A 15,841-nucleotide genomic window follows, 5' to 3' on the forward strand; every position below is an offset into this window, starting at 1 on the left:
GGAGGAATGAATTTCTATTTTATTCAATGGGTTATTGTCCATTACCTGCCTTATTTATTTTGATGCTCAAATTGTGCCAGATTTGTTGGGGGTCGGGTGGGGTTATTTTCAAGCTGGTTATTTCAAAATGCTCTCTTTCATTGTTCTTAATTTCTGGTAAGACAAGTTACTCCAGGCTGATCTTGTACCTTTCCTCCCCTGGCCCTGGCATCAGCCATTTCTCTAAGGAGTCATAATTCCTTTTAATGGGAGTGGTATTTGGAAACCAAGATTTACACACAAAATAAGCTCATTGCTAATTCAGTATTATTGCTGGGGTGTCATATTGATACCTCCAATCCCAATCTTGTCTTCTCCCTTTCTTTATTTTAACTCCCTTTCTTTCACAGTGGGAGACCTGATTCCCTACAACAGCAACATATGTACTCACTTGTTCAAACCTGCAGTACCTATACACGATTTCAGAATTTTCAGTATAATAAATAAACATACTAAAAAGAGTTTCAGGCAAATATTTACTCCACATTTCATGCATGGGTATTATCACAAGAACTCTGAAAATGGTTGGAAGAAAAGAGTAGAGTCTATGTCATCTTTCAGCTTTCCATCTTTGCCTTGTTAAAGTGGCAGGCTCATTAGAAAAGTAACTGCCAGTGTGCTGCTTGGTAGCATTTCAAGCCAGTCTTTTCATTAATAAAAGTCGCACTGGTAATTTTAAATAACACATTTTAAAATTCTTACATAAAAAGAAACTTTGGGAGGTATCGTACTGGAAACTCTCACACACCATTTGGATGTCTGTGTACTGGACATTCATACCTTCTACTAAGAAGAGCCAGAGAAGATTAAGGTTTAAGAAATGAAAAAAGACAAAAATTTATCCCAAATTCAAATACACCAAGGAGGTCCAGGGTGCTCTAGAAACAGGCAAAACTGAAAAAGGAATACCACTCCCTCAAAACACAATCTTATAAGAACACTCTGGGCTCAATCTTTTAAATGCAAAATGTTGCAATAAATGTAAAGTAAAACAAGCCAATCAATCAACCTGTGGACTCCATTACTGGAAGAGTGCTCCAGTTTTGCATAAAAATTCAGAGTGGTTTTCGAATCCCTAAACTTGCCTAGAGTCTTGTAAGATTCCTCAGGTCAAATTTCTTTGTACTACAAGTTGTATAGAATATAAAACTTAACAGGCTTCATGGTCTGCTTTCTATGTGGGTCAGGATTCCTATGTGTTCTAAGTGCTATTGAATCATATATTTTTATGGCATAGAAGGAATTTTGAATGTATTTACTCCAATTCCTTTTCTTATAGATGGAGAAACTGAAGTCTACAGAGGGGAAATGACTTGTCCAAGAGCATAAAGGCTGTAGGGGAAAGAACCATGTTGTAGAAGAGAATTCAAGCACAAGGTGGATGGTTGGACTGAGTTATCTGATGTTCCATTTCTACCCTGAGATTCTGAGTCTGTTTTGTGTTTGCCAGTACAATGATCTTTCTACTCTACCCTCAGGGGCCACTGAGGGGATTGGAAGGGAGAGAAGTTAACTATTTTAAATATTGATTTTCCTAGAAAGATATTTCTTGAAGAAAGAGATTTGGGAATCATAACATGATTCAATTGTAATGCTGTCCAGGACTATATTACAGTCAGAAGTGCTTGCCATATGTGAGTACATCTTTCAAAACATCAAAGTATCTTAGCAGCTAGGAAATCTGATGAATGCCAGAACTTGGCTGAGAATGTTTGTCAAGTTTTGTCAGCCTTGTCACAGCTGGCCTTAGTATGCTTCTTTCTATAGCCAAGTAACTTTTTGGTCAGACAGCCAACTAATGTTTCTAATCACTTCTGAAATTCTTCTGAGCAGCACAACCTATTACTCTGTCTAACAATGGTGTGTAGAGCTATGACACTAATTGTTCTTAGGAGAGAGCCATGCACACACTTTTTCAACATGATGGAGTACAGCTATGGTTCTACTTTAGGGTAGAATGCCAATATCTCAGACTACATCATAGCTGTTTTTTTTTTTTTTAACAATTTGACTAACACTAATTACTCTTGTGAATCTTTATTCAAAATAGTGTTTCCATTATTATGAAGCAAAATGACAGGAAGTGTGCACAATTACAAGTTCAAGTAATAGCTGCTAGACATCTTCTGCACATATTACCTACTCTCTGCCTTCCAAGTCTACAAATGTTTCAGATGATGATTTGAGAATGATGAAGACATTTTAGCTTATAGAATGCAGTATATAAAGGTGACCATCAGTTCATTGGTAAGTACCCTCCCCCATCCCCTTAAAAAATGCCATCATGGCAAAAGTGTCCTCCTGGCCTTTAATAACTCTCTTATTTCGTTCCACAAATATTTACTTAATGCCTATATGTAACAGGCACTATGCTTGATATTGGAGAAACACTGGTAAACAAGACCTACAGACTCCCTCACTGTTTTGGTGTTTAGAGTGCATTGGGATATACATACATAAACAGGTAAAATACAAATGGGTTAAGGTAGGGGGAGATCTAAGAAACTAAGGGGAAACTAATCCAGTTATAGAACTCTTGGATGTGACATTTAAACTGGTATCTGAAGAACAACGAGTTATACAGGTGAGGGAGGTTGGGGAGAGAATGTTTTCCAAGACAGGAAGAATACAAGAAAATGCCCAGAGCAGAGAACAACAGCAAGAGAAAAGCAGCATATAATGGGACTACAATAGTACAATTTAGAATGTAAGTTTGTGAGACGTAAGAAATGTGGCTAGATTATAAATCAGTTCCCCTGAGAGCTATAACCTTGTCTATTTTGTTCAAAATAGCATTGCTATTATCTACCACAATTCCTGTCACATAGTACAAATTCAAAACATATTTGTTGAATAACAAAAATAACAATGACAATAAAGATAACAGTCATTTAATTATGAGACAGAAAGCATTCTAAGTGCTTTGGTAATGTGTAAATTGATTAAATCCTCACAGCACACTATGAGGCTCTTCTTCTTTTCTTCTTGCTATTATTTTTATTATTATTATCCTCTTTTTACATATGAGGAAACAGAGGCTCAGTGAGGTTAACTCAATAGCCCAGACAGCCTAGGTAGTGATCGGCAGATTCAAGATTTAAACCCAGATAATCACAGACTCTCCTGATTCTAAGGATCTAGATTTTGCTGTGAAGAGTTTTAAATTTCCCCTAATGCTACGGGCAATCACTGAAAGGCTCAATAAGTTGAATATTGCCAATATGAGTCTGGCAGCAATGTGAAGAATGGATTTAAGTGGGAGCAAGACTAGAGGTAAGGCGATGAACTATGAAGGTTTTGTGATAATTCACGCAACTGGTGATTGTGGATTGAACTATGATGTTGACAGTACAGATGGAGAGAAATAGTCAGATGTGAGAGAGGGAAAGAGAGTTATATTCAATAAGACCTAGTAGTTGATTGAGTGGGGGTGTATATGAGAGAGACAAAGGAATAACGGAAGACTTTCAGGTTTCCAACCATTGCGATTGGGTATTTGGTCAGTGCAACTCACCAACACAGACAACATGAGGAAAAGGAGCAGGTCTGAGGCAGTTGGTGAGGAGATCACAATTTAATTTTGAGCATGATGAGTTTAAGCTTATTTGGGGGGCATTCAAGTGGACATGCCCAACAGACATTTTCAACAGACTTGTCTGATGCTTAGAGAGGAGATTCAGTATGGACACAGAGATGTGGGAGTCACCAATATATAGCTGGCATTTGCAGCTAATGTAGGCAATTATAACCATGCTGGAAAATTGTGTACACTGATAAAAGCAGAAAATCTGAGACAGAGCCTAAATAAACACAAACATCTAACTGACAGATAGAGGAAAAAGAGCCTTTAAAGGAGATTGTGATGGTGCAGCTAAAGGAGTAGGAGGAAAGCCAGAAGGATGACTATAAAGAAAGCAGAGGGAAAAAAATTTCCCAGGAAGAATAAAATGATCAACAATGTTAAATACTGCTGAGAAAATCTTCCAATGTGTTTAGCAACATGGAGGCCTTTGATGACCTTGGAAAGATGGGTTTCATTATGAAGGGGTGTGTGGCAGTATGTGAGAGGAGGAAAAAGTCATATTTCAGTGTGTTACAGGGTAATTTACAGGAAAAGAAATCAAATAAAACGTTACAGAACCAAATTCTAGTTGTTCCCATGGAAACAAGATTCAGGGACACTGAAGGATTTGGGGTGAAAAGAGAAATCAGAAGTCCTAGGATAACTGTTAATTAGTTTAACAGAATGGAACTTAGGAGTAGATGGCATAAGGATGTAGCAAGAGGTAATATGTGGATGGAGAAAAAAGGTCAAGAATTTGCAGGGAATCTCAATATACATGTGGTTCATCGATTAAATTGGATTTAGAGCAAAAATCAATCAGTGTATAACTCAGTGCTCTGAAAGAATCTCACTGTCCTAAATTAACTTCTGCTGAACTCTCTGGGTATATTCAGAAGCCATGATTAGTGACACTGGTGTGGCTGCAGGGCTAATGGTGGCTCCATCTAGTTCTTGTTTGAATTGTCATAGACAGAAACCCTACACTGTAAGCATCTGTGTCCTGTATATAGACCTTTATATCACTCCTTGGGCGATGGAGCAGTAAGTCATTCAAAGGCAGAAGCTGTCTCTTTTGTTATTAGATTCTTTAGGCCCTTCAGGATCTTGGGATTTCTTCTCTTATGAGGAAGCCTGGATTTTCTCTTTTCCAGACTTCTTGTGCAGTCCTTTATGCCCAAGACTGAGAGTGCAGATCTCCTGAAACACAGATACTGGGAGGTACTACAAACTACTGGCTGTAAAAAATGGGCTTTGGAGTTAGTCGTGAATACGAGTCTCAGCTATACCTCTTAAAGAAGTACACAAAATAGACTGATTCATAATGGCAAAGGTTTATAAATTGGACATCATTAAAATGAATATTTAATATAGTTATGGCTATGGCTGCATTTAGGTCTACCATTTTATTATTTGATTTCCATTGGTATTCTTGTTGGTGCCTCTATTCTCTCTCTTTCTAGCCTTCTTTTGGGTCACTTGAATATTTCCAAACTCCATTTTAATTTAACTATTGGTTTTTAACTTTATCTCTTTGTGTTACTTTTTAATTGTTTCCCAGAGATAACAATAAACACCCTTAACTTTCCAGTCTACTTAGACTCAATACTGGACTACTTCATGAAAAATGTAGAATCTTGAAACCACAGAGGTCCATTAACCTCTCCTCCACCATCCTTTTTGTTATAGTTATCGTAAGTATTACATTTATATACATGATAAACCTCACAAGACTTAAAGTACCCACATGTATTTTAAATAAAATGAGAAAAATATGGTTGTTTATATTTACCTAGATGTATACCAGCCTTGAGGAACATACAATGGCTCGTAGAGGAGGAGCTGGTGAAGGGAGCTGAGAAAAAGCAGCCAGAAGTGTAAGAGGAAAACCAGGACAGTATAGTCTAAGGGAAGCCAGGGTAGGAGAAGGTTTTGAAAAGAAGGGGGTGGTAAACAGTGTCCAAAGTTACTTAAAAGTCAAATAAAAGGAATAAAAGTGGTGGCGCGTTTAGTTACATTTAGGGAGGTAATTGGTAAAAGCTGATTTGGTAGAGTGAGTTGGGTACAAATCAAGTTGGAGTGAGTTGAGTAAGTGGTAGGGGAGAGAAACTAGAAACAGGGAAGATAGACAACTCTTGAGAAATTGTAAAGAAGGGGAGAAGAGAGATAGGTTAATAGCTGGAAAGGGATATGGGGTCAGTGAAGATTTCAGTTATTTTAATCAGACAGTCTGAGAATACATGAAAGTCAGTAGGAAGGATCCAGTCGAAAGGATGAGGTTACACATATAGGCTGGAAAAGCTGTAGTTGATAGTGTAAGAATCTTGTGAAGATGGAAAGACATAGGATACACAGCACAGGAGAAAGATTAGCTCTGAAAGATGACAGGATGTGTACAGTGGTAGGTTAATATACTTGCTGTCAGGAAGATGTGGGAGTTGACATATGATAGCTTCTTTTTTTCTCTGAAAAGTAGGAGGTGATATCATCATCTGTGAGAGGAGAGGAGTATGTGTTGGAGGCTGAAGAAGAATAAAGAAGGTTTGGAATAGTTGTGAGTAGAGACTGAGATGTAATAACCTCTCAGACCACAATAAAGGTGTTTTACTATGTATGTTATTAGGAGACACATTGTTGTTTGGCTTTAGTTTTAGAAGCAGCTGGACTATTGATTACTTTACAAAAAAAAAAATACAACTATCAAGTGGCTTGCATATTTGCAGTGGCACTATGGTGTAACAGACATTGTGGGCCTAGAGCCAGATTGCTTGGGTTTGAATCTCAGCACTACCACTCACTACCTATCTGACCTTGGAAAAGTTACTTGAACTCTATATGCCTTGATTTCATCATCTGTAAAATAAGGGCAATAATATTATTAGTCCTAACCTCATAGGGTTGCTGTGAGAATTAAAGTTAGTTAATATGTGTAATGTTGTTAGCCTTGCACATAGTAAGAACTGAACAGCTCAGTAATTGTTAGTTATTATTTTTTGCTGATCAACTGATTCTTATTCTACTGTCTAGTCTAGGAGGGATGCTAAATTAGAGTCAAAAGCTTGCTAAGTGGCTTGAAACCAAGACATGGAGAGTTAGTTGGACTATTAGACTCGCTGGTGTCCTCAAGCTATGATAACCTGATGTGTCCATCTCTACTATGCCTGCTGCTCCTGTTACTTATACTTATGGGTCAGAGCCCTTAGGAATGCTTTGTAGAATACTGCATGTAAATGAATACTTAATGATTGACTGATGTGATGAATTTGGATAGAGATAAGTTGACACATATCTGAGGGCAGATGGAAGACAGAATGTCTACATAATTTCATCTGGTGATAGCCAAAGTCACAAAATTGAATCATCCAAATTAAATCAGAGAATTAGAGAATCTTGTATTTGGAAGAGCCCTTTAAGGCCATCTGGTCGAACCTTCAACTCAGCATTGGAATACTCCCTACAGCCTCTGTAAGAGAGAATATCAGGCCAGTTGGGAAAGAGACTGGCAAATGATGTAAAACCAAATGGCATTTCAAACAAAATGTGGATACCTAGGCTCTGGGTGGTTTGGTTTTAAACCGGCTCCACAGAAGACAAAACACCAGGAAGAGTCCAAGTTGTAAAACTGTTTCTTTCTAGATATAGAAAGCAAAGGCAGAAGCCTCACTTGTCATTCCTGTTGCTAACTTTGCTTGCTAGCTGACAATGGTGCTCTACTTTGAATCAATTTGCCCATCTGTGAAAAGGAAACACCATGTTTCAATCTTCCATGAGTGTTTCCCAAAAATGAAAGTCCTTATATATCTGCAGACAAAGTGTCTTTGGACTAGAAGCCAGCCAGTCTGCCGAGTTGGGTAATCAAATCTCAGGGTGAGCTTTTTGCTTGCTTTAAGGTAGAAAGTACCTGTGACATTTTGGTTGACTAGGTTTGGGCTGGTCCTCCACAGAAGTGTGTGTTATCAAATGTGTCGGAAAGACCCAGAATCACTACCTTCCTCCTTCTCCCTGATCTCTTTCATCTACTTTTAGATGCCTGAAATCTGAAAGATTCGAATTTTAGCTTTTTGGCTTATGGTATCAGTATCTGTTAACTTGTAATGCCCCTGGCAAAGGTAAGACATTGAGTTTCTGTCAGTCATTTACCCCTTAGTGGGAGTGAGGAAGACTGTGAAAGTTGGAATAGGAGGAAAGAGAAAGAGGACACTAAATGCCTGGAGAGGGGGGAATAATGGGGAGAGTGAAAGAAAATTTTGTATAGTTCACAATTTATCCTAGGACCCGCCTTGCTCCAGAAGCAAAACAGAGCAACATGGTTCCATCTAAGCCTCTATTCTCTACTCTCCCCTTCATTTCCCCTCCCACGCCCCAGCTATTTCCAAATTAGGAGGTGAATGAGCTCTGTTTTCAGATTTTATTTTTCACTTTAAAAAGTCTTTTAAATTATTTTGCCTTTTCAAATACACTTTTGTTTAATGAGAGAAAATGTTCAGTCCAGGCCTGTAGTTGTGCTAACACTCAGTCTAAGAAAACCATTCAGTTCTATTACTCTTCCAACACACTGATTTATTTTAAGGGTGCAAAAGATCCAAAGGTATTGACTAGGTTGCACTGAACACTGGGAAATCCTAAAAGTTTATAGCAACAGAAGGAAAACTCCTTGAGGAAAACACCTTTGCAAAAGATCCAAAGGTATTGATTAGGTTGCACTGAACACTGGGAAATCCTAAAAGTTTATAGCAATAGAAGGAAAACTCCTTGAAGGAGACATAATTAGATTTTTTTTTTTTTTCGAGATGGAGTTTCACTCTTGTCGCCCAGGTTGGAGTGCAATGGCGTGATCTTGGCTCACCACAACCTCCACCTCCTGGGTTCAAGCAATTCTCCTGCCTCAGCCTCCTGAGTAGCTGGGATTATAGGTGCCTGCCACCATGCCCAGCTAATTTTGTATTTTTAGTAGAGACAGGCTTTCACCATGTTGGCCAGGCTGGTCTCAAACTCCTGACCTCAGGTAATCCACCCGCCTGGGCCTCCCAAAAGTGCTGGGATTACAGGCGTGAACCACCACGCCTGGCCTAGATTTATATTTCAATTTTCACTTTGAAAGTTAGGTTTCCACCTAGATGAATACATGATATGTGCTAAAGTAAAACTAACACCGAGACAGAGCAGAGAGGGCAAAGACTGCGCCTGGTTCTTCTTTTTGGAGCCAATCTAGCAACTCCCTCTTGTGTGCTTTTAGCTCCTTATAGTAATGACAATAAATGAAAAATAAAAGGAAAAATAAGCCCCAGAATGATTTAATCCAAACTACCTTGACAGTGAGAATTACTTCTTTATGGCTCACTTCCTTATATTTGCAAGAGAATTTATTAATCCAGATGCAAAGCATCTTGGCTGTAAGATAGATCCATTAAAAAATGTATTTTCACATTTTTCAACTTGTTATTTTTACATCATTTTGGACTTAGCAGAGAAGTTGTAAAAATAGTACAAACAATCCCCCATCTTTTTTACCCAGATGCCCATATCCCCAATTGTTTACATTTTACCACCTTTGTAGTCCATGTCTATATAAGTATGTATGGATATTATATATATTCATAATATGTATGTGTGTCTATCAATATATCATTTTAATTTTTTTGCATGGCTTAAGAGTAATTTACAGATATGTTGTTCCTTTACCCCTAAGTACTTCAGTCTATATTTCTTAAAAATAAGAATAATTCCTTACATATCCATAGTATAATCATCAAAATCAGAGAAAAAAACACTAATAAAATACTATTATCTAATCTACAATCCTTATTCAAATTTTGTCAGTTGTTTCACTGACTTTTATAGCCAAAGAAAAAGAAATTTGTTTCTTAGAATCTGATCTAGAATCACACATTGAATTTACTTATTATGTCTCTTTAGTCTCCTTTTATCTGGAACAGTTCTCAACCATTCTTTGACTTTCATGACCTTGACAGTTTTTATAAGAACAGACCATTTGTTATATAGAATGTTCATTAATTTGTGTTTCTTTATTGTTTTTTCTTAATTAAACTCAGTGATGTTGTTTGAATGTGTGTCCCCTCCAAATCTCATGTTGAAATGTGACCTCCAATGTTGGAGGTGAGGCCTGGTGGGAGGTGTTTGGGTCATGGGGGCGGATTCTTCATCAGTTGCTTAGTGCCTTCCCTGTAGCAATGAGTTCATGTGATATCTGGTTGTTTAAAAGAGCCTGGCACCTCCTCTTCTCTCTCTTGCTCTCTCTCTTGCTGTGTGACATGCTGGCTCTCCTTTGCATTCCGCCATGATTGTAAGTTTCCTGAGGACTCACAAGAAGCAGATGCTGGCACTATGCTTCATATGTAGCCTGCAGAACCATGAACCAAATGAACCTCTTTTCTTTATAAATTACCCAGTCTCAGGTATTCCTTTATATCAATACAAATGGACTAGCACACTTAGTTTATGTTTTTTTTTTTCCAGAATACCACAGAAGTGAGGATGTGCTATTCTCAGTACACCAGATTATTTCTTTTGCAGTTATTAGTTTGAATTCTACACACAGAAGAGCTTTCTGTTCTCATCTATGTATCTATTCATCCACCTATCCATCTATTTAAACATTTATTTATATTAACATTGACTCATGCATTGTCATTTTATGTTGTGGGTGAATCCATTGCCATCATGTATTTTGATGGTCAAATTGTCCCAGAGTTGGCCAATGCAAGCCCCCTCAGGCTGGATCCTGAATGCTCCTCACATGACCTTGCCATTCTTTGAGTATTCTCTTACTTTCTGGCACAAGTTGTTTCAAGAATCATTTTCTACTTCCTCTGCTCTTGTTCTGAAATCAGCTCCAAGGGGCACCGGTTCTTTTTAGTAGAGAATGATAATTAAAAACTGAGATTGGACACTAGTTTTGCTCTTTGCTACTGGGGTATTATTGCTTCTAAGCCCTCTCAGCAGACAAGCTAGAAAAAATATATGTGTAGGTGTGTATGCATATATGTTTGTTTACTTAGATCTATCTATCTATCTATCTATCTATTTATCTTAGATTATTCAGACTTCTATAACAAACAAACTACTCTAGACTGAATGGCTTACAAATAACTGAAATTTATTTCTTATAGTTCTGGAGACTATGAAGTCCAAGATCAATGAGTTGGCAGACTTGGTGTCTGGTGAGAGGGCCCACTTTCTCGTAGAGAACCTTTATCTCACTGTGACTTCACATGGCAGAAGGACTAAGGGTCTTTTTATAAGGACCTTTTATCTCTGTGGGGTCTCTTTTATAAGAGAACTAATTCTATTCAGGACGTCTCTGCCTTCATGACCTAATCACCTCCCAAAGACCCAATCTCCTAATACTATTACTTTGGGGTTAGGATTTCACCATTAACATCTTGGAGGGATATGAACAATCAGTTCATTGCTATCTATCTATCTATCTATCTATCTATCTATCTATCTATCTATCCATCCATCTATCTATCTAAATTTATCTATATGCCTATTTGTTATGCTGTCTATTAAAAACCGTAGGTATATACTGATAATTCTATTTCTAATCCAATACCACAGGGTTCATTCTACTCTCCCTCCTTTCCATATCTGTATCTCCCTTCTTCTACAGTGAGAACCTGGTTCTCATTATCCACAATATATTTATTCATTTGTCAATTCTAGAATATGCATAAAGTGATTTCAGAATTGCTAATTATAGCACTGTGAAGAAGCAAACCTACTTAACTAGGGTTAATATTTGTATATACTTCTTTTTACCTTTTACCTGAATATATATACTTAAAACACTGTGTTTAAAATTACTTGGGTTTGTTTTGTTTCTTTTTCTATTCAGAGTGATTATGTGTTATTTATTTGCAATAAAGACAGGTTTGTTTATTTCTGTTTGTGTTCGATTTTGGGTTTTCTCCCCCACTCTTGTTTATTTTATTTATTATGTTATTTATTTAGTTTTGGCTATGTGAAACACTATCATGTTTCCAAAGTCAGAACCCTGCAAAAAGGATAGAGAAGTGACTTCGAACCCCAGCCATATTTCTACTCTGTTCTCTTCTCCCCATCCTTACCACCTTATTCCCACACATCCCCTGTAGGTAATCAGTCACATTATTTTATGTTTTATCCTTCCTGTTTCTTTTTGTACAAGTTAGCATATTCATGTATATTTTCTTATTCCATGGGCATAGAAAAAAGGGTGAAAATATACTTTTCATTTTTGCCAGAAAAATGGAGACTTTAAAGAAGTATAACTAAATGGTCCCCCTCCTGTTCTCAAGTTCACTTCACACCTCATTTTAAACTTCACTTCCTTCTACAGGGATGCCTAAATTAGGCCTTGTCTTTATGTCAAGATTGAGATAAATCCCCTTAAACTGTGCTCCCACATCTCCCCCAACTTCCACATTATTAACATTAATCACATATGATGTTAAAAGAAGAAAACTTACTGCTCATTCTCTAATTTAAAAGACTTAGATGCACTCAAGTAAATTCTCTGCCTGATATTCAGTAGTCCCTCTCTCCCTCATTACCTTTAGGGCCTGAACACATGGTCATGTTCTAATCTGCTTATTACAGAGAGCGTAGGCAGCCCTGCGGCTTTCCATCTTAGCCTCACTTAGGGCTAATGTTTTCAGTACAGATGTACACAAGCCGGCAAAGACTGGTTTGAGGCAGAAATTGGCCAAATTACAAGAGCTAAGCAGAATAAAAAATAAAAATCCAACTTTAACTTCATTCATAAAGAAAGAGATAAAATGATAAAAGGCAAATAAAATAAATCATAAGAAATGAAACTACTTTAGACATACGTCAATTCTCTTGTATTGAAATAAATCATTTATTTTAGCAGTGGAGGCACTTATTTCAATATTAGAAAAATAATGCTATTGTTTTCAGCGTAAAATAACCCTCAGGTGGAATAGATGCATTGATTTTTTTAAAATGGATTTAAAATAAATCCAATGTCTTCATAATGAAAACTTACAACATTCACTAGAATATAGTAGTTACATAAGCCAGTGGCTTTCCAAGAAAAAGGAAAATTGCATTCCCTTGCTTTCATTGGTTTTTGTTAAATACAATTTGTCCATTCCGTTTGACTGGCCAATTTGATTGCAGTGTACTAAAACTCAGCTAGGTACAATATAGATCCACAGGCTTGACTTAGGAAAACCAAGCCCATATAGCACAATAATTGGATCCACACATTAATTAGATCCAGAGATACATCTTGGCTTATTGTCACTGGGCTTCCAGGCTGAAGGAATCTAGAAATAGGGTGCTTTGAGGCTCTGATTGATTGTCTATGGTATTTTGTACCAGACAGCAAGTATGAGAAAGAAGAACAGCTGTGCAATGACTATAATCAAATGCAAATACCTAGGAGTCTCCACAACAAAATAACAAAGACAGCAGAATGATGCTCATTTTGATCAATAATAACAGTCTCCCGCCCCTGAAAATTTTCACACACAATAATCACTGTTAAAGCTGTTTCCTTTTTGTCAAATTGAAACATTCAGTGTGTGGGTATGTTGCCTGATGGCATGCAGGCTCCTGATAAAGTATTAATCATGCAACTAAATGACCTGAGTCCCCAACCACATCATGTAAAATAACATCATCTCTTTAAAATTAATTCATTGAAAGAAACTTTAAAAAGAAGTGTGGAGAACAAAGTAGTTTATGCTGCTGCAGTGAGACCCTATTATAACAGGTTAACACTACAGTAGTATAGAATATACACCAATGCTGTTGGTGGTAGAAGTACTCCAGGAAGCTAACAAGTATCTGAGCATGCATCAAATTCCTTAGCTAGGAGTTGCATGGATCCTCTACTTTCTGCTTCTACTTTAATTCATTTATTCAGTAAATGTCTACTGAGCACCTACTATGTGACAACTGGTTGCACTACTTGTTGGACAACACCCTTTCACTAACATCTTACCTCTTCCAATGCATTCTAGACATGGCTACTAGATCAATATTGTAAAAACACACTTTGATTGTTTCATAAACCAGGCTCAAAAACATTTGTTGACATACCACTGCCTGCCAATATAATCCCAACACTTTATATTACATTTAGATCTCTGAGTAATATGTTTCTCTCCAACATTAGCTTGCACATTTTCCTCACTAGAGTGTAAGCTCTTTGGTTGCAGTTAGTTCATTTCAATGAAAATTTTTTTGAATATTTATCATGACCAGTGACTGTGCTAAGCATGGGGATAACATGGTGAATAAGACAGGAAGAATTCTTGTTATAGTGGAAGAGCCTGACATGAGAAACAAATACTCTCAATATAATGCGGTTAAGGGCAATAACAAAACCGAGCACAGGATACTCAGGAAGTACAGAGGAAGTGCTCATAATTCAGACCAGTTGTTGAAGGAAGTCTTCTTAAAGGGGTGCAGGCCCCACACCTTATTCAACTTGATGTTCCCAGTGTCTAGCACAATTCTTGGCACATAGTAACTTGAATAAATACGTAATCCTTACAATATAGTCAATTTGGAAGACTCATCTTCCCCAGTCTGCTGTTTTTCTATCCCTCTCCTCTTTGCCTAGAATACCCTATTTTTTTTTTTCACGACTATTTTTGCCTTTCAGAAGTTCAGTTCAAATGCCACCTGCTCCATGATGGCTTTCCTGATTACTGAAACCAGTAAATAAGCATGAAATCAGATTATCCTCTATGAGAGAAAATAACTGTAATTAGTTGGAAATGGTTACTGGCCATCCCCAGAAGTAGCTGAAAAGACCATCTTTAGTGTGCCCCTGACTTTCAAATAGAGTTCTCTAGCCTAGACCTCCACCCTGAGCCCTACATCTGCATATTCAACTGTTAACTTGGCATTTCCATTTGAATGTCACACAAGCAATTGAAACACAACAGGTCCCAAACAGAACTCATTATCTTTTTCATTCTATTTGTCTGTTTCTGTTCCAATGTTTTCTCTACCATTGCAATCCATCCAGTTGCTCAAGCTAGATCTGTGGGTGTCATCTTTGAATCACTCCACACTTGGTATTCGATCAGTCGCCAAGTTTTATTGATTCTACCCCCTAAATATTTCTCTCCATGTTCACTGTTACTGCCCACTATCACTTCTTGCCTGGAATACTGCAAGAGCTTTCTGTCTGGTCTCCCTGCCTCCAATCTTGTTTACTTCCAAATGCCACTCCAATCTGCAGCCAGAGTGATCAAAAAATGAAAAATTGAACAAGTCAGGCCCATCTTCAAAACACTTCAGCAAATTGTAATAGCCTTTAGGGAGAAGTGCAAAATCAGACAATGGCTTACAAGGCTTCTCATATTTAGACTCATCTCTCCCCCTTCTCTCTACCACTCTCCTCATTACTCATGTATTAGACTTCTTTCAGTTCACACTGAACAATTTCTCACATCATAGCCTTCAACCATGCTGTTTCCTCTGCCTGGGACACTCTTTTCTTGAATTTTTATGCGGCTGATTCTTATTTCTCCTCTAGATCTCACTGCTTCAGGGAGGCTTTCCTAATAAATTAAAGATAGCCATGGTCTTAATCTGTTGGGGCTTATAACAAAGTACCACAGACTAGGCAGCTTATAAAGAACAGAAATGTATTTCTAACAGTTCTGGAAGCTGGGAAGTCCAAGATCAAGGTGCTGGTAGATTTGGTGTCTAGTGAAGGTTCATTCCTCATAGACAGCACATTCTTGCTGTGTCATGATGGAACAGGACATGATGGAAGGGGCAAGGCAGCTCTTTGGGATCTCCTTTAAAAGGACACTAATCCCATCAATGAGGGCTCCACATCCCTGGAAGACCCCCCAGTCCTAACCGTATCACCTGTGGTTAGGATTTCAATAAATGAATTTTGGGGCTTGGGGACACAAACATTCGGACCATAGCAGTAGTTAATAAGATAATCCATCTCATTCTCCTGATTCTGGCTCCAAACTTACCTAGGAACCTCTTTGTAACAATAACAGGCTTGCCTGATTATATTTTTCTTTATCAGAGAGACTATGACATTATTTACATCTTATAACAAAAAAGAAAATTTTAAACCCCGATATTCTGATTTATGCATCATTCTGGGTAAGCTGATTTAGAAAAAACACCTTCACCTTGTCTCTCCCTAACTGTATAAATCACAACTGGAAATGATGTTCCCTCCCTCACCACTTTTATGTCATTTAGCTCATACTATGCCTGCCCTTCTTC

Source organism: Homo sapiens, chromosome X (genome assembly GCF_000001405.40).
Source record: "Homo sapiens chromosome X, GRCh38.p14 Primary Assembly".
Classification (NCBI taxonomy): domain Eukaryota; kingdom Metazoa; phylum Chordata; class Mammalia; order Primates; family Hominidae; genus Homo; species Homo sapiens.